This window comes from Homo sapiens, chromosome 1 (genome assembly GCF_000001405.40).
Source record: "Homo sapiens chromosome 1, GRCh38.p14 Primary Assembly".
NCBI lineage: Eukaryota > Metazoa > Chordata > Mammalia > Primates > Hominidae > Homo > Homo sapiens.
Genome location: NC_000001.11, coordinates 38889999 through 38910006, shown reverse-complemented (window position 1 = coordinate 38910006; position 20008 = coordinate 38889999). Strand labels below are relative to the sequence as shown.

General features: G+C 43.0%; 1 protein-coding gene across 2 annotated transcripts in view; it reads left to right on the top strand.

Annotated features, from left to right (window-relative positions):
- RHBDL2 (rhomboid like 2) overlaps nt 1-20008 on the top strand; it is a 56024-nt gene that overhangs the window by 31824 nt on the left and 4192 nt on the right. For both annotated transcript variants that reach the window (NM_017821.5, NM_001304746.2), the window contains exons 5-6: nt 13938-14038; nt 16783-16843. In NM_017821.5, the coding sequence (NP_060291.2) occupies nt 13938-14038; nt 16783-16843 (162 nt within the window). The remainder of the gene's footprint in view (nt 1-13937; nt 14039-16782; nt 16844-20008) is intronic.

Genomic DNA, 20008 nt, shown 5'->3' with positions numbered 1-20008 from the left:
TCATTCCATAAAATGGATATAGCACTGCTTGTTTAACCATTCACTCATTGAAGGTTATCTGAGTTGTTTCAGTTTTTGGCTATTAGGAATAACACTACTCCAAACACTTGTGTATATGTTTTTATGAATATAAGTATGGGGTTTTGTGAACAGAGTTTTCAGTTTTCTAGGATAAATGTCCAAAGGCACAGTTGTTGGAACATATGATAGTGGCATATTTTATTTTTTAATTTAATTTAATTTAATTCATTAATTTATTTATTTTGAGATGGAGTCTTGCCCTGTCGTCCAGGCTGGAGTGCAATGGTGCGATCTTGGCTCACTGCAACCTCCGTTTCCCAGGTTCAAATGATTCTCCCGCCTCAGCCTCCTGAGTAGCTGGGATTACAGGTGTCTGCCACCACACCCAGCTAATTTTTGTATTTTTAGTAGAGATGGGGTTTCACCATGTTGGCCAGGCTGGTCTCGAACTCCTGACCTTGTGATCCACACACCTTGGCCTCCCAAAATGCTGAGATTACAGGTGAATTTTTAAAGAAAATTCTTTAAATATTAAACATTTAAAGAATGTTTTCTAGAATGCCTCTCCCATTTTACATTCACCGTAGCAATGCATAAATGATTCAGATTCAGCATTTGGTGTTGTCATGATTTTTTATTTTACCTGTGCTCGTGATACGGAAGGGTGGAAGGGAAGTGCTGGGTAGAGGAGGGCATAGTGCCTGGCTAGGGCTCCACCCCCAGGCCTGTGCCCACGGAACTAGGTGAGGACGGACATTTTTGTTTTCCTGCCCAAATGTTGCATTTTCCAATACCACCCTGACTTGCCACGCCCCCATCCTGTGCCTATAAAAACCCCGAGACCCTAGCCTGCAGACACACAAGCAGCAGGATGTCGAGAGGAACACATCGACAGAAGATGACAGGACAGACGCCAGCACGCCAGCAGGCCACTGACCAGCCGGAGGACGCGGAGTTTGGCTGGGGCAGTCAGAGGAGATCCCGGGCTGCCGAGTGGCCTGACTCCAGGGGAAAACCATCCGCCTTCTGGCTACCCCATCTGCTGAGAGCTACTTCCACTCAATAAAACCTTGCACTCATTCTCCAAGCCCACGTGTTATCCATCCAATTCTTCCTGTACATCAGGCAAGAATCCTGGGATTACAGAAAGCTCTCTGACCTGGAGATAAGGCACAAGTATAATTGAGCTGACTAACAGAAGCCACCTACAGACTACTAAACTAAGAGTACCCTGTAACACATGCCCACTGGGGCTTCAGCTGTAAATTCACCCCTAGATCACTGCCGTGGGGTCAGAACCCCACAGCCTGCCCGTCTGAATACTCCCCCAGAGGTTTGAGCAGCAGGGCACTGAAGAAGCGAACAACACCCCCATCGCACGCCCTGCGAGGGGGACAAGGGAACTTTTCCCATTTCACTCCTAAGTGGGTAGTGATATATGATCATGGTTTTTTTTTTTTTTTTTTTTTTTTGGAGACGGAGTTTCACTCTTGTTGCCCAGGTTGGAGTGCAATGGTGCAGTCTCAGCTCACAGCAACCTCCACCTCCTGGGTTCAAGTGATTCTCCTGCCTCAGCCTCCCGAGTAGCTGGGATTACAGGTGGGCACCACCACACCCGGCTAATTTTGTATTTTTAGTAGAGACAGGGTTTCTCCATGTTGGTCAGGCTGGTCTCAAACTCCTAACCTCAGATGATCCACCTGCCTCGGCCTCCCAAAGTGCTGGGATTACAGGCATGAGCCACTGCACCCAGCTGATCATGATCTTAATTTGCATTTCCCTAATGGCTAATGATGTTGAATATCTTTTTTTTTTTTTTTTTTTCAAATTTGGAGGAACATTCTGAGATGCATTGTTGAATATCTTTTTATGTGCTTATCTGTCATCTATCTTCTTTAGTGAAATGTCTCTTTATGTTTTTTGCCCATTTTCTAACTTTTTTTAACTGTTGAATTTTGAGGGTTCTTTATATATTCTAGATGCTAGCCCTTAGCTGAATATGTAGTTTATAAATATTTTCACCCAGTCTGTAGCTTGTCTTTTTATCCTCTTACCAAGGTCTTTCAGAGAACATGAATTTTAAATTTTGATGAAGTCTAACATCAATTTTTCCATTTATGAATGGTACTTTTGGGGTTATGTCTTAAAAACCTTTCACTGAACCTTAGGTCCTGAGGATTTTTTCCAATGTTATCTTCTAAAAATTATAGCTTTATGCTTTACATTTATTTGTTTGTTCACTTTTAGAGACAGGGTCTCACTTGGTTGCCTAGGCTGGAATGCAGTGGCACAATCATAGCTTACTGCAGCCTGCAGCCTCGAACTCCTGTGCTCAAGTGATCCTCCGGCCTTGGGCTCCTAAAATGTTGGGATTACAGGCATGAGCCACTGCACCAGGCCTTATGCTTTACTTTTTTTCTTTAATTTTATGTATTTATTTATTTTGAGACAGAGTTGCGCTTTTGTCGCCCAGGCTGAAGTGCGATGGCGCGATCTCGGCTCACTGCAACCTCCACCTCCCAGGTTCAAGCAATTCTCCAGCCTCAGCCTCCTGAGTAGCTGGGATTACAGGCGCCCACCACCATGCCTGGCTAATTTTTGTATTTTTATTAGAGATGGGGTTTCGCCATGTTGGCCAGGCTGGTCTCGAACTCCTGACCTCAGGTGATCTGCCTGCCTCGGCCTCCCAAAGTGCTGGGATTACAGGCATGAGCCACTGCACCTGGCCTTTACTTTTAAATATGCAACCCATTTTGAGTTTGAGGTTTGTTTTGTTTGTTTGGCCTGAAGATATCCAATTATGCTAGAATAATTCGTTGAAAGGAATTTTTCCTCCTTTGTTGAATTGCTTTTACACCATTATAAAAAATCAGTTGCCTATAGTTTTGTGGGGGCTATTCTGGGTTCTTTTTATTCTATCAATCTCTATGTCTATCCCTCCACCAAAACTACATAGGCTTGATTACTGTAGCTATATAATAAGTTTTGAAATCAGAATGATTCCTCCCATTTTATTCTTCATTTTGAAAATTGTAGCTGTTTTAATTCCTTTGCCTTTCCATATAAGCGTTAGAATAATTCTGTTTATAGCTATAGAAATTCTTGCTGGAATTTTGATAGGAGTTGCCTTAAATCTGTACATCAATTTGGGGAGAACTGATATATTTTCTATATTGAGTGTTTCAATGTATGAACAGTGTCTTTTATTTATATCTCCTAAATGGTGTTGTATTTTAAATTTCAGTGTCCATAATTTCATTGCTAGTATATAGAAACACAATTGATTTGTGCATGTTATTCTTTTTTTTTTTTGAGATGGAGTGTCGCTCTGTCGCCCAGGCTGGAGTGCAGTGGTGCGATCTCCGCTCACTGCAAGCTCCACCTCCCAGGTTCATGCCATTCTCCTGCCTCAGCCTCCCGAGTAGCTGGGACTACAGGTGCCCACCACCACACCCAGCTAATTTTTTGTATTTTTAGTAGGGGCAGGGTTTCACCGTGTTAGCCAGGATGGTCTCGATCTCCTGACCTCATGATCTGCCCGCCTTGGCCTCCCGAAGTGCTGGGATTACAGGGATGAGCCACTGCGCCCGGCCTGTGCATGTTATTCTTATACCTTGCAACCTTGCTGAACTCACTTAGTAGTAGGGTTTTTGTTTTGTTTTAGATTCCTTGGGATTTTTCATGTCATCTGCAAATCATCATGTCATCTATAAATAAGGATATTTTATTTCTTCCTTTCCAATCTATATGCCTTTTGTTTCTTTTTCTTGCCTTATTGTGTTGGCTAGCACTTCAAGCACTATGTTGATTAAGAGTTAAGAGAAAAGATGTTCTTGCCTTGTTTCCAATCTTAGGCAGAAAGCAATGAGTATTTCGCCACAAAATGTAATGTTAGCTGTAAGTTTTTTTTTTTTTTTTTGAGTTGGAGTCTTGCACTGTTGCCCAAGCTGGAGTGCAATGGCACGATCTTGGCTCACTGCAACCTCTGCCTCCCAGGTTCAAGCGATTCTCCTGCCTCAGCCTCCCAAGTAGCTGGGATTACAGGTGCTCACCACCATGCCCAGCTAATTTTTTGTATTTTTAGTAGAGATGGGGTTTCATTATGTTGGCCAGGCTTGTCTCAAACTCCTGACCTCATGATCTGCCTGCCTTGGCCTCCCAAAGTGCTGGGATTAGAGGTGTGAGCAACTATGCCTGGCCTGAGCCACTGCGCCTGGCCTTTTTTTTTTTTTTTTCTTGAGACAGAGTCTCTGTCACCCAGGCTGGAGTGAAGTAGCATGATCTTGGCTCACTGCAACCTCCACCTCCCAGGTTCAAGCAATTCTTGTGTCTCAGCCTCAAAGTAGTTGGGATTACAGGCATGCAGTACCACACCCAGCTAATTTTTTTTTTTTTTCCTGTAGAGACAGGGTTTCAACATGTTGGCCAGGCTGATTTCAAACTCCTGGCCTCAAGTAATTCATTTGCCTCAGCCTCCCAAAGTGCTGGGATTACAGGCATGAGCCACCATGCCCAGCCAACTGTAAGTTTTTTGTAGGTGCTCTTTACCAATCCATTTATTCTAAAAAATGAACAAGAAATCTATCGAGCAGAGTCCTGTGGATGGCAAAAAGAAAAATAAGGCTGGGCACAATGGCTCATGCCTATAATCCCAGCACTATGGGAGGCCAAGGCAGGAGGATTGCCTGAGTTCAGTAGTTTGAGACCAGCCTGGGCAATATAATGAAACTCTGTCTCTACCAAAAGAAAATTAGGCCAGGCATGGTGGCTCATGCTTGTAATGCCAGGCTGGTCTCGAACTCCTGATCTCAGGTGATCCACCTGCCTTGGCCTCCCAAAGTGCTGAGATTACAGGCGTGAGCCACCGTGCCTGGCCTTATTCTCTTAATATCTTTTGGAGAGGAGACGTTATAAATATTAAATCTATAATTTTTATTTTTATTTTTATTTTTTTTGAGACGGAGTCTCGCTCTGTTGCCCAGGCTGGAGTGCAGTGGCGCGATCTCGGCTCACTGCAAGCTCCGCCTCCTGGGTTCACGCCATTCTCCTGCCTCAGCCTCCCGAGTAGCTGGGACTACAGGCGCCCGCTACCACGCCCGGCTAATTTTTTGTATTTTTAGTAGAGACGGGGTTTCACCGTGTTAGCCAGGATGGTCTCGATATCCTGACCTCGTGATCCGCCCGCCTCGGCCTCCCAAAGTGCTGGGATTACAGGCGTGAGCCACCGCGCCCGGCCAATTTTTATTTTTAAAAATGTTTTACTATATATATAGTACACATATTATATATATATATAAATATATATGTATTTTTTTATTTCTGTAGAGACAGTGTTTTGCCATATTACCTAGACTAGTCTCAAACTCCTGAGCTCAAGTGATCGTCTGCACTGGCCTCCCAAAATGCTAGGATTACAGGTGTGTGCCATGATGCCTGGCCTTTTATACATTTTCAAACTTTAGGAATTGTGGCTTTTAGTGTCATATCAAATAATTTTTTTTTTCTTTTTTTTTTGAGACGGAGTCTCATTCTGTCACCCAGACTGGAGTGCAGTGGCGCAATCTCGGCTCACTGCAAATTCCGCCTCCGGGTTCACGCAATTCTCCTGCCTCAGCCTACTGAGTAGCTGAGATTACAGGCGCACACCACCACACCTGGCTAATTTTTTTTTGTATTTTTAGTAGAGACGGGGTTTCACTACGTTGGCCAGACTGGTCTCAAACTCCTGACCTTGTGATCCACCTGCCTCGGCCTCCCAAAGCGCTGGGATTACAGGCGTGAGCCACTGCGCCCAGCCTGTATAAAATAATTTTTACCTAACACAAAATCACCAAGATTTCTCCTAGAATCACCATGTTTTCTCCTAGAAGTTTTATTATTTTAGGCTTTCCATTTAGGTGTATCATCTGGTATTTTTGCAAGGGGAAGGACTGAAGTGTCATTTTTTTGCATATGGATGTCTGTTCTAACATCATTTGTTGAAAAGACAGTCCTTTCTCCATTGAATTGCTTTAGTATCTGTTGAAAATACAAATTGCTTTTGTATCTTTGTTGAAGTTGTTGTTTGTATATATGAGTGTGTTAATTTCTGGAGGTTCTATTCTGTTCCACTTATGTATTTGTATATCTTTACACCAATACCACATATCTTGGTTACTGTAGTTTTCATGACTTTTGGTCATGAAATCAGGAAGGGCTAGCACTCCAACTTTATTCTTTTTCACAAATTTTTTGGCTATTCTAAATCCTTTGTATTTCCATATAACTTGGTTTGTGCGTTTCTAAAAAAAAATCTGCTGGGATTTGGATTGCATTGAATCTATAGATCAACTTGGGGAAAACGGACATTTTAACAATATTGAGTCTTCCAACCCATGTTGAACAAGGTATACCTTTCTGTGTATTTAGGTCTTTCAAAATTCCTCTCAGCATGTTTTTTAGTTTTCAGTGTTTATGTCTTGCAGAGTTTTTGGTCAGATTTATCTCTATGTATTTCATATTTTTGATGTATTAGAAAGGGTAATGTTTTTAAAATTTCTATTTCTCGGCCGGGGGTGGTAGCTCATGCCTGTAATCCCAGCACTTTGGGAGGCTGAGGCAGGTGGATCGCCTGAGGTCAGGAGCTCGAGACCAGCCTGGGCAACATAGTGAAACCCCGTCTCTACTAAAAATACAAAAATTAGCTGGGTGTGGTGGTGGGCGCCTGTAATCCCAGCTACTTGGGAGGCTGAGGTAGAAGAAAGGCTTGAACCCAGGAGGTGGAGGTTGCAGTGAGCCAAGATCGCGCCATTGCACTCCAGCCTGGGCAACAAGAGCAAAACTCTGTCTCAAAAAAAAAAAATTATATTTCTCATTCTTCATTGTTACAGCATGAAAATATATACTTTTTGGTATATTTTGTATATAGATCTTGTGTTTTCCAACCTTGCTAAACTCACTTATTACTTCTAGAAGCTTTTTGTAGATTCCATTAGATTTTCTACATAGATTATTATGTTGTCTGTACTTGCTAATTTCCCTTTTGATGTTTTCTTTGACACATGGGTTATTTAAAATGTGTTATTTAGTTTTTAAATATTTGTGTGTTTTTCCAAAGATGTTCTGTTGTTAATATCTAGTTTAACTGTGGTTAGGGGCTGGGCGTGGTGGCTCACGCCTGTAATCCCAGCACTTTGGGAGGTTGAGGTGGGCAGATCATTGAGCCCAGGAGTTTGAGACCAGCCTGGGCAACATGGTTAAACCCCATCTTTAAAAAAAAATAACAAAGGCTGGGTGTGGTGGCTTATGCCTGTAATCCCAGCACTTGGGGAGGCCGAGGTGGGCGGATCATCAGGTCAGGAGTTCGAGACCAGCCCGACCAACATGGTGAAACCCCGTCTCTATTAAAAATACAAAAAAATTAGCTGGGCATGGTGGTGTGCACCTGTAATCCAAGCTACTCAGGAGGCTAAGGCAGGAGAATCGCTTAAACCTGGGAAGCAGAGGTTACAGTGACCTGAGATTGCGCCACTGTACTCCAGCCTGGGTGACAAAGCGAGACTCCATCTCAAAAAAAAAAAAATAATAAAAAAAATAAAAAAATAAAATGAAATAAAGTAAAACAAAACAAAAACAAAAATTAGCTTGGTGGTGCACACCTGTAGTCCCAGCTATTCGGGAGGCTGAGGTAGAAAAATCACCTGAGCCTAGGAAGTCGAGGCTGCAGTGAGCTGTGATCATGCCACTGCGTTCCAGCCTGGGCGACAGAGTGAGACTCTGTCTCAAAAAAAAAAAAAAAAAAAAAAGAAAAAGAAAAAAGAAGAAAACAAAACTGTGGTTAGAGAACAAACTTTGTATGACTTGAATCCTTTTAAATGTATTAAGATTTGTTTTATGGTCCAGAATATGGCCTATGTTGGTAAGTGTTCTTTGTACATTTGAAAATAATGTGTGAGATCAGTTGTTGTTGGGTAGAATATTGTATACATGTCAATTAGGTCCATTTGGTTGATTGTGTTGTTTGTCTTCTGATTTTCTGTCTACTTTTTCTATAAATTATTGAGAAAGGATTATTGAAATCTCTGATTATAATAATGCATTTGTTTGTTTCTCCTGTGGTTCTATCAGTTTTTGTTTTATTTATTTATTTATTTATTTATTTATTTTATTTTTTTTGAGATGGAGTCTCGCTCTGTCACCCAGGCTGGAGTGCAGTGGTGCAATCTCAGCTCACTGCAACCTGCACCGGGTTCAAGCAATTCTCTTGCCTCAGCCTCTCGAGTAGCTGGGACTACAGGCATGTGCCACCATGCCCGGCTAATTTTTGCATTTTTAGTAGAGACGGGGTTTCACCATGCTGGCCAGGCTGGTCTCAGACTCCTGACCTCAGGTGATCCACTGGCCTCGGCCTCCCAAAGTGCTGGGATTATAAGCGTGAGCCACTGGCCCATTTATTTATTTATTTATTTTTAAATTTTTCTTTCTTTTGTTTTCTTTCTCTTTTTTTCTTTCCTTCTTTCTTTCTTTCTTTCTTTTTTTTTTTTTTGAGACTGAGCCTTGCTCTATCACCTAGGCTGGAGTGCAATGGTGCGATCTTGGGTTACTGCAACCTCTGCCTCCTGGGTTCAAGCAATTCTCCTGTCTCGGCCTCCTGAGTAGCTGGGATTACAGGTGCCTGCCACCAAGCCCAGCTAATTTTTGTATTTTTAGTAGAGACAGGGTTTCGCCACTTTGGCCAGGTTGTCTTGAACTCCTGACCTCAGGAGATCTGCCTGCCTTGTCCTCCCAAAGTGCTGGGATTACAGGTGTGAGCCACTGCAGCCGACCATATGCCTGATAATTTTTGATTGGATGCTACACATTTTATCTAGTTGGATGGTGCATATTTTTGTGTTCCTGTAAATACTTTTTTAATTTTTAAAATTTTATTTATTTATTTATTTATTTATTTATCTATTTAGAGATGGAGTCTTGCTCTGTCACCCAGATTGGAGTGCAGTGATGTGATCTTGGCTCACTGTAGCCTCTGCCTCCTGGGTTCAAGCGGTGCTCCTGCCTGAGCCTCCCAAGTAGCTGGGACTACAGACGTGTGCCACCACGCCTGGTTAATTTTTGTATTTTTAGTAGAGACAGGGTTTTGCTATGTTGGTCAGGCTGGTCTTGAACTCCTGACCTCAAGTGATCCTCCTGCCTTGGCCTCCCAAAGTGCTGGGATTACAGGCATGAGCCACTTTGCCCGGCCAATGCTTTTTATTTTTTATTTTTATTTACTTATTTTTTTTGAGACAGAGTCTCACTCTGTCATCCAGGCTGGAGTGCGGTGGCATGATCTTGGCTCACTGCAACCTCCGTCTCCCAGGTTCAAGTGACTCTTTTTTTTCTTTTTTTAGACAGAGTCTAACTCTTGTCGCCCAGGCTGGAGTGCAGTGGTGGATCTTGGCTCACTGCAACCTCTGCCTCTCAGGCTCAAGCGATTCTCCTGCCTCAGTCTCCCAAGTAACTGGGATTATAGGCATGCACCACCATGCCTGGCTAATTTTTGTGTTTTTAGTGGAGATGGGGTTTCGCCATGTTGGCCAGGCTGGTCTCAAACTTCCGACCTTAATGATCCACCTGCCTTGTCGTCCCAAAGTGCTGGGATTATAGGCATGAGCCACTGCACTCGGCCCAGGGGGTTCTTGTGTCTCAGCCTCCCGAGTAGCTGGGATTATAGGTGCACACCACCATACCCGGCTAATTTTTGTATTTTTAGTAGAGAAGGGGCTTCACCATGTTGGCCAGGCTGCTTTTGAACTCCTGACCTCAAGTGATCTACCTGCCTTGGCCTTCCAAAGTGCTGAGATTACAGGCCTGAACCACTGCTCCAGGCCATAAATACTTTTTAGATTTGTTCTGTAACTCAGTTATGTTACTTGAAAGCAGTTTGATTCTTTTTGGTAAGATGGTAATTATTCCCACCACTGGACCCTTTTGTGTACTCTGAGCATTGCCCCATTAATTATGGCATTTTCCAGTACACATCCCCACACTGCTTGCAGGAAAGGACCTAGAGAAAAGTCGCAGGGCAGAAAAGCAGAGGAGGACGGCCCTGGATTTGGCTTATCAGTCCTTGGGGCCCTCCTGCCCCAGGAAGGGCAGCGAGGACCATGGTGTTGCTGCCATCATTATCACCCTGGCCATGAGATTGCAGGACTGGGGCAGACCCAGAGGAGGACTGGAAGGGCCAGAGTCAGCCAGGAACACAGCAGCTCAGCTCTCGGCTGTTGGCAGGTGGCCTTGATGGCTTTTCAAAGGCAATCACTCCACCCAGGACAAAGCTCACTTTTCTCTGGGGCAAAACACATTGGTTCATTTGTTCAGTTCATTAATTCAACCAGTCTGTTTCTAAGGGAAACCTGGCTGTGGCCAGTCCTGCTCCCACATCCCTAGGTGCCCAGTGTTCCCAAGGGACCTGAATTCCAACCCCAGTTAGGAGTTCAGGGGTCAGCATCCCCATGCCCCACATGCCTGTTAGGGAGGACAGTGAAGGCTGAGCACTCTTGGGCTCACCAAACACCAGCATTGAGAAACTGCCCCCCATCTTCCCTAGGTAAGGTGACCTTGTAGGACAGTTCATGCTATTGGGATGGTCTGGGTAAGGTGGCCACGAGGGCAGGGGACCAAGGTCTGCCCCACCTTTGACCTTAGCGACATGCCCCTGATTGCCTGGCCCCCCTCTGGTTGTCGTCTGAGTCCCTTCTCTGGGGGTACCTGGGCCTTGCTGCACTTCCTTTGTATGCTAACTTCATCCTGATCAAACTTGATTTTCCTACTGTGATTTCTTTCCAATTTCTTCATCAAGTTAAAAATTCTGTATTGAGAGCAGTTTCCTACATTACCTCAAATCCTGTTCAAACAAGGATTATCCCTAGAAGTCAGAAAGGAGGGAAAACAAGCTTAGTCACAGAAGACTACTCTATACTTGAGCTTCTGTTTCAAGGGAAGTGAGTAACTGGTGGTGGAGCCCTGCCCCTCTGCAGTGTGTGGTTTTGTCCTGATATATTTTAAGATTGAGATGTAACTCACCTGTCATAAAATGCCCAGACTTATGATGTGTGGAAACAAAAGAGTTTTCCAGTACAGAAAGTTACTTAGCCTCTCTGGTGCTGTGTAAGCAACAGGTAGTCTTCCCACTTCATTTTTGGTGGTTCTTTCCTTGGCTTGGGTAATTTCCTTGCATGCTCCTTTCTGGAGTTTTCTGTATGCAGCTTTCTGCTCTCTGGTACCCTGTCTTGTAAACTCTAGCAGTCCAGATCTATCTGGACTCTAAACTTCATCTCATCAACTTAAAGTTTGCTGAGATCTGCCTGGGTTCCTGCTTCATGCGCTGTATTCTGTAATCTCCCTCAAGGTAGTACCTGGGCAATCAGATAACTCATCTATTAATAACTGATTCCCTGTCTCTAAGGGTTTACTGGTTTTGTTTTCTGATGTCTAGTATCTTGAAGACCATTCTTTCCTATATGTTGTCCAGTGCTTTTGGCTTTTTCAAGTGAGACAGCAAATCCTATTCTTGTGACCTTATCATGGTCAGAAGTAGACATTTGTATCTATTTTAAAAATAAATTTCTCATATGATTATGATATAATCACCCCAGCCCTAGTCTATAGGTTAGCATTTGAGAATCATTGCTCTAAGTTGCTCTGGACTACTTCTTTGTTTTTTGAGACAGAGTCTCATTCTGTCACCAGGCTGGAGTGCAGTGGTGCGATCTCAGCTCCCTGCAACCTCTGCCTCCCAGGTTCAAGTGATCCTCGTGCCTCAGACTCCCCAGTAGTTGGAATTATAGGCATGTGCCACCACAGCCAGCTAATTTTATTTTTTTTCAATTTTTTTGAGACAGAGTCTCACTCTTGTTGCCCAGGCTGGGGTGCAGTGGCGCCATCTCAGCTCACTGCAACCTCCACCTCCAGGGTTCAAGCTATTCTCCTGCCTCAGCCTCCCAAATAGCTGGGATTACAGGTGTCTGCCACCATGCCCGGCTAATTTTTGTATTTTTAGTGGAGATGGGGTTTCGCCATGTTGCCCAGGCTGGTCTCGAACTCCTGAGCTCAGCTGATCCACCTGCCATGGCCTCCCAAAGTGCTGGGATTACAGGCGTGAGCCACCGTGCCCGGCCTACTGGACTACTTCTCACTGATCTTCAGTCATCCATATACCTGTTTGTATGCCATTGCTTTTCCAGTTCTCTAAGTCCTGAATACCTTCTTCTCTTTTGTTTTTCTTATCCAATCCTTTTGTGTGTGGGGGTGAGGGGAGAGGTCTTCCTCTGTCACCCAGACTGGAGCGCAGTGGCACGATGATAGCTCACTGCAGCCTCAAACTCCTGGGCTCAAGTGATCCTATTGGCTCAGCCTCTTGAGTAGCAAGGACCACAGGCGGGTACCACCATGCTTGGCTAATATTTTTCTTATATTTTTGGAGACGGATATCACTCTGTGGCCCGGGTTGGTCTCAGACTCCTGACTTTCTGGCCTCAAGCAATCTCCTGCCTGGGACTCCCAAAGCACTGAGATTATAGGAGTGAACCACAGTGTCTGGCCAATCTTAAAGATTCTTCAAAGTTTAGGCCGGGCGCAATGGCTCACGCCTGTAATCCCAGCACTTTGGGAGGCCGAGGTGGGCAGATCACGAGGTCAGGAGATCGAGACCATCCTGGCTAACATGGTGAAACCCCGTCTCTACTAAAAACACAAAAAATTAGCCAGGCGTGGTGGCGGGCGCCTGTAGTCCCAGCTGCTCGGGAGGCTGAGGCAGGAGAATAGCATGAACCTGGGAGGCAGAGCTTGCAGTGAGCTGAGATCACGCCACTGCACTCCAGCCTGGGCGACAGAGTGGGACTCCATCTCAAAAAAAAAAAAAAAGATTCTTCAAAGTTTAATGAAAATGCTATCTCCTCCTCCTCAGAGTAGCAAGGACTCCACCCTTCTGCTGAGAAAATCACTCCTTCCTAAGTGCTTCTACAATAAATTTATTTTTGTCATAGTAGTTGTTATATTCTGTACTTTATAATAGTTGTTTGCTCATCTCTTTGTAAAATTACTGAGGACAGACACTTTTTCTTGCACAAAATAGGTACTGTATTGTTTTGTATCATACACTAAGGAAATGAAAGAAGACCTTGAAAGGAATAGACCAAGTAATAGAACTAAGCAGTATAGAGAGAATATTTTAGTCTTTGCATAAGGTGGTTTGCAAAGCCTTGTTTTGGTCCAGTAAATCTAGGATTAGGTTAGCAATTAGGATTCATCTTGCTTGGGGAATCTGATTGGATCGTATGTTGAGAAGGATTCTGAGGGCACATTATGGCTCATTGAGAAAGATAGCTATTAGATAATAAAATGTTGGATTGTCTCAGGTATTTTGACTGAACATAGGATATTTTGCAATAATATTAGGTTGATGCAAAAATAATTGCAGTTTTTGCCCTTAAAAGTAATGGCAAAACCGCAATTACTTTTGCACCAACCTAATAGCTAACAAATATATAATACACATCAAGCAGTATTCTAAGCACAAAACACACATCAACTCATTATTTACCCTGACAATCCATTAAGGTAAGTTCTATTAATAGCCCCATTTTGCAGGTAGGGAAACTGAGACATAGAGAAGTCAACTAACTTCCTCAAGTCACACTGCTGGTAATTCTGGCTCCAGACGATTCTGCCATTGTCACTGCTATGTTGCTGTTCTAATGAACATTCCATGTTTTCAGAAACACTGTGGTAGTTAGCATATACAGCTATGCTTCTATGGTATGAAAGGGGCAAAATAGATTTGTTGCTTGCTAATGTGATAATAGACCAGACTTCCCAAATGTCTACCTTAGATTAGAAAGATTTATCTTTCCTGATCCGTATAGTCATGTCTGATCCTTTGTGTTTTATTTCTTTAGGGTCCCTTGCCAGCTCCATCTTTGACCCACTCAGATATCTTGTGGGAGCTTCAGGAGGAGTCTATGCTCTGATGGGAGGCTATTTTATGAATGTTCTGGTGGTAAGAACCATGGGGATGGAGTCCACGAGTCTCTTAAAAAAACAGAAAACAGTAACTCTTCTTTGTTTCAACGAACCTTCATTTATCAATATTTACTGAGCACTCAATTTTCTGAGAATTGTATGGCAATGCCATTTTGTTTCCTTTCTTTTCTTTCTTTTTTTTTGAGACAGAGTCTTGCACCATTGCCCAGGCTGGAATGCAGTGGTGTGATAATGGCTCACTGCACTTCTGCCTCCTGGGCTCAAGCAATCCTCCCACCTCAGCCTCCTAAATAGCTGGGACTACAGGTGTGGGCCACCATGCCTGACTAATGTTTTTATTGTTTGTAGAGCCAGGGTTTCGCCATGTTGCCCAGGCTGGTCTCGAACTCCTAGGCTCAAGCGATCTGCCCACGTTGGCCTCCCAAAGTGCTGGGATTACAGGCGTGAGCTGCCGCACCTAGCTTCCTTTCATATGTTATCATTTTTTTTCTCATTTCAAAAGTAATGAGTACAACATAAAATTTTAAATAAAAAAGTAGAAAGTTAAGGTCCTCAATATAGTATCTGTTAACAGTTGGGTGGGTGGTGAAAGACGTTGTTAACAGTTTTATATATTTTTTTCAGCCCTTTTTATTTTATTTTATTTTTTAAAGGAAACCAAGTTTATTAAGAAAGTAAAGGAATAAAAGAACGGCTACTTCATAGGCAGAGCAGCCCAGACCTTTTTCTACATGTATTCAAAATCCTACCGATGTTAATCTTATAACAATGACACCACCCTTATATTGTTCTGCATTTTATCATAGAGCATCCTGACCATCTACCCATGTCAGTGCTTAGAAATCCTCCCAGCTTAGAGCTGCTCCCTAGCATCCTCTATATAGATGCACCATGATTTATTTAATGAATCTCTCGCTGAAAAAAATTTGGGGTGATTCCTGCTTTTCATGTTTACAAGTAATGCTATAAGAAATGCCCTTGGCCGGGTGCGGTGGCTCACGCCTGTAATCCCAACACTGTGGGAGGCCAAGGTGAGTGGATCATGAGGTCAAGAGATCGAGACCATCCAGGCCAATATGGTGAAACCCCGTCTCTACTAAAAATACAAAAATTAGCTGGGTGTGGTGGTGTGTGCCTGTAGTCCCAGCTACTCGAGAGACTGAGGCAGAAGAATGGCTTGAACCTGGAAGGCGGAGGTTGCAGTGAGCTGAGATCATGCCACTGCACTCCAGCCTGGCAACAAAGCAAGACTCTGTCTCAAAAAAAAAAAAAAAAAAGAAAAAAAAAGAAAAAAAAGAAAAGAAATGCTTTTTACATTTATCTTTTTGCATTTGTGTAAATTTTTTTTGTAGGATAAATTTCTAGGCCAGGCATGGTGGCTCATGCCTGTAATCCCAGCACTTTGGGAGGCTGAGGTGGGCGGATCACAAGGTCAAGAGATCGGGACCATCCTGGCCAACGTGGTGAAACCCCGTCTCTACTAAAAATACAAAAATTAGCTGGGTGTGGTGGCACGCACCTGTAGTCCCAGCTACTCTGGAGGCTGAGGCAGGAGAATCGCTTGAACCCGGGAGGTGGAGGTTGCAGTGAGCCAAAATTGTGCCACTGCACTCCAGCCTGGCGACAGAGTGAGACTCCAACTCAAACAACAACAACAACAACAACAACAAAATTCTAGGTAGAAAAGTGTAAAGCAATTATAAAACTGTTCCAAATATAGAAATCACTAAGAAAAGTGGTTTTTTCAACTTTGGATTGCAACCCATTAGTGGTTGTAGACTCACTTTAAGGAACTGTGGCCAAAAGTTAAACCCAAGAAAAAAAAAGTCAGTGTTATTGTTTGATTTATGCGTGTACTGGGTTGTTATGTAAATTATTTCTTACTGTAGGTCATGGTCACAAGAGTTTGAAAATAATTGATTTAGAGTAAACATGCCTATTTCAGCATCTTTACTCCTTGGGAAGAGAGTTACTAATTTGAAAGTGAAGGGACAAGTAATTCAATAAATTATATTAGAAATGTCTCGCTCAGCAGTTCGCCACTGACGCATAAGGGACCCAAAGCTAAAATCCAACAATGAGCCAGGTGTACTGGAATGCACCTGTAGTCCCAGCTACTCAGGAGTCTGAGACAGGAGGAAGGCTTGAGTCCAGGAGTTCGAGGCTGCAGTGAGCTATAGATTGCACCACTGCACTCCAACTTGGGTGACAGAGTGAGATCCTCCCTGTCTTCTACCTCCCCTCACAGAACCCCCCCAAGAGCGCCCCCAAAAGACCCTGCAATAATTTTTGACGAATATTTTCAATGTTTTTGAAATTACCTCAAAAATTAAGGTAATACTCAAATCTCAGTTAAGTCTTTGCTAAATACTACTGGGAAAGAGGATGAAGAAACATCAAATGAATATTAACCAAAAATCTTATGAATATTTCATCAATCTTAGTTTAACAGCATTTATTTATCTATTTATTTATTGACATGTTAAGTGCTGATTTTATATTACTTTTATTGAGATTGTTTCTGGCTAGCAAAATTGTGTCATTTATATTATTAAATTAAATGTCTTGTCATTTTATTCTCCAAAGTGCATTGTACTTCCCAAATACATTTAAAAACTCGGCTGTGACACTCATGCTTTGTTTTGCAAATATTTGATACTGGAAGATTATTTCAAATGAAGAGCAGATGAAGAGGGAGTAGAGTTGAGGTTTCATTTGTCCATAGATAGCTTATATAATTATTATTTATCTCTTTTTAAGAATTTTCAAGAAATGATTCCTGCCTTTGGAATTTTCAGACTGCTGATCATCATCCTGATAAGTAAGTGTGTTTTGTGAATACTTCATACTGTCCAAGTGAAAATAAAATATAGAGACAAATCTCTAAACATTTTATTTGGGAATCACAGGATTGCAATTTGGGGCATACACACAGACCTGGGAGGTCTATGGTATGTCTGAAGTACAAAAGAAAAGGCTGGGGGTTTTATTAGAAAGATAAATTTTACATATTATTTTGAAAGAAAGCTCATTGGCACTAGAGCAGCCTTTGGGAGCTGGTTGGTGAGTGATGGTAGTGGGGAGAACTAGTCTTAGACTTGTGTTGTTTAGACCTGATTCTTAGACTCAATTTGTTTCAGCAGCTATTAGGTAAAACTAGTCTTATGGTTAGAACAGGTAGTTTCGGCAGCTGGGCTTGTGGAGAATTCAATTGTTGGAGCAGTGCTATGTGCTCTGAGTGCTTTTGTCCCCTGGCCCCTCAACTCTGATTTAGCTGGGTTTGACAACAATGACCTATTTCACATAATCATCTCACATAATATTTTCACCATGTGATTGGTTTAGGCTTCAGAAGGCCTTTCCACATTTCCCAGACACTAACATGGAGAATAACTGCAAGCCTACAGTTAGAGAAAAATTGTCCACTTCACAGCACTAAGCAGAAAGAAGTAAACGAAGGAGTTTTACAGGCTCTCATGGGTGGTTCTTAGACATGCCTACGTGATGTATTTTGGCTTTTAGTATCTTTATGGAGTGGGGGAAGCCAAGAGAATAGAGCCCTAGGCACCCCCTCTACTTGAACCACAATAGCTTCACTTATATTTTATATACTGGACTTTTTCATATATTGGAAGCTGTATGTGATTTTGTCTGCAGAGGGAAAACTTGGAAACCACTGATATAATCTCTTTTCTTCCTCAATTTCTAAATTTTCAGATTAAAAAAAAAACTGATCCAGTAAGTATTGAGTGATAGCTGATAGTTGAGGATTAATGATAGAGAGTTGGGGGAGCGGGGGGCAGGTGGCAGCGGGCAACCGTTCAAGAAGCCCAGACCAAGAGGGTGACTAATGTGGCTTTTGAAATCTCCAAGCATTCTAGAATCACATGCTAAAGGAGGTTAGGAAGAATGCTGTCTGGAGAGGGGATGGAAGTGCAGCTGAGTCTGAGAGTAAAGGTAGATTCCAGATGACAGCAGGCCATAGAGCATGGAAGAAAACAAGAGCAAAGGTGGGGGTGGTAACTGGTGTTGACAGACCTGCTCCAGTTGAAGTTCTCTCCACCTGGAGGGCTGTGGAAGAATGACAGACCCTGGGGTCAGACCTGAAAGCCAAGGCAGAGGTTATACCTGATAAAGCCTAAGATGTTTTTGGCTGTCCACATAGTAAGAAAACAGGATTTTGCAATTTCTATGAAGGGTTCGATTATCCCCATTACAGGAACAGAGGCAACTATGTCTGTGGGAAGGGACTCTTTAGTTTATTGACCATTTAAATATAAGAACGCTAATATTTCACTCTGAGATAAAATAATTCACTTGTTTATAGTTTATACTATTCTTAACTTTTTTCTTCATAACAAATTCAAAACCTAAGAGAAGGGAGAGTGAGTATCTGGGAGGCAGCAGAGCTGCTGCAGGAGCTGAGCTGCCTCCTCAGTTGTTCAGGGTCACACCCAGAATCAGAGGACACATTGTTTGGGCACAGAATTGTTGTCACCTGAGATACGGGGTCTTCAGTCAGTCTGCTTCATTTCTAAAAGTTCTTTGGCCTGGTTTACCTACTATTGAAAATGGGAAGAGTTACAACACATACCAGATTAATAAAATATAAGTGCATCTGTATTTGAAATGTGTTTCTTTGGAAATGTATATAATTTTGTAATATGTAATATGTAATGTGTATAAAGTTGTAAATATTCTTCTTTTTTTTTTTTTTTTTTTTTGAGACGGAGTCTCGCTCTGTTGCCCAGGCTGGAGTGTAGTGGTGTGATCTTGGCTTACTGCAACCTCCGCCTCCTGGGTTCAAGCAATTCTCCTGTCTCAGCCTCTCCTGTCAACAGGTGCATGCCACCATGCCTGGCTAATTATTGTATTTTTAGTAGAGATGGGGTTTTACCATATTGGTCAGGCTGGTCTCGAACTCCTGACCTCAGGTGATCCACTCACCTCAGCCTCCCAAAGTGATGAGATTACAGCCGTGAGCCACTGAGCCCAGCCAAGTTGTAAATATTCTTCTTAATTGTAAATGGCAATTGCCCTAAAAAACATTCCTTCATCAAGCATTATGTTTGAGACCATCCTGTGAAACATAGGGAGACTCTGTCTCTACAAAAAAATTGGTCAGGTGTTGCGGTGTGGGCCTGTGGTTCCAGCTACTCAGGAGGCTGAGGTGGGAGAATTCGCTTGAGCCTGGGAGGTCAAGGCTGCAGTGAGCCGTGAACATGCCACTGTAGTCTAGCCTGGGCAGCAGAGCGAGGTTGTCTCAAAAAAAAAAAAATCCATATGAAGGCAACTCTTTTAAAGTAAATGTTAAATTTTTAAGGAGGACAATGGTTTGGCTTCTTGGAATAAGGGCTTATTTTCAGGTGGGAAGACACATCTCAGTTTAGAGGCTGCAGCAACCCAGAAGAAAAGTCCCCTAGGAAGCAGAAAGAGGAAAGAACCAGACTCAGATATAGGAAGGGGCAAGATGAGAGAAACTGGTTGGAGAAATTGACATACTAATGGTTACAAAGACTTTCTGAGAGGAGGTCTCCTATTGTGGAAGACTAAGCCAAAGTAACTGTTTCCAGTTATGTGGCAGTGTTTTTTAAAAACACTTTCCTAGACCCATGGGCATGTTATTTATGTGGACCAGGAAATGCAAATGATGATTGAAAATATGGGCCAGGCACGGTAGCTCACGCCTGTAATCGCAGCACTTTAGGAAGCCGAGGCGGGTGGATCACGAGGTCAGGAGATCTCATGGTGAAACCCCGTCTCTACTAAAAATACAAAAATTAACCAGGCATGGTGGCATGGGCCTGTAGTTCCAGCTGCTCAGGAGGCTGAGGCAGGAGAATGGCGTGAACCCAGGAGGTGGAGGTTGCAGTGAGCTGAGATTGCACCACTGCACTCCAGCCTAGGCGACAGAGTGAGACTGCGTCTTGAAAAAAAAAAAAAAAGAAAATATTATATAGCCTCATGAATCTAGCACTTTGTGTAA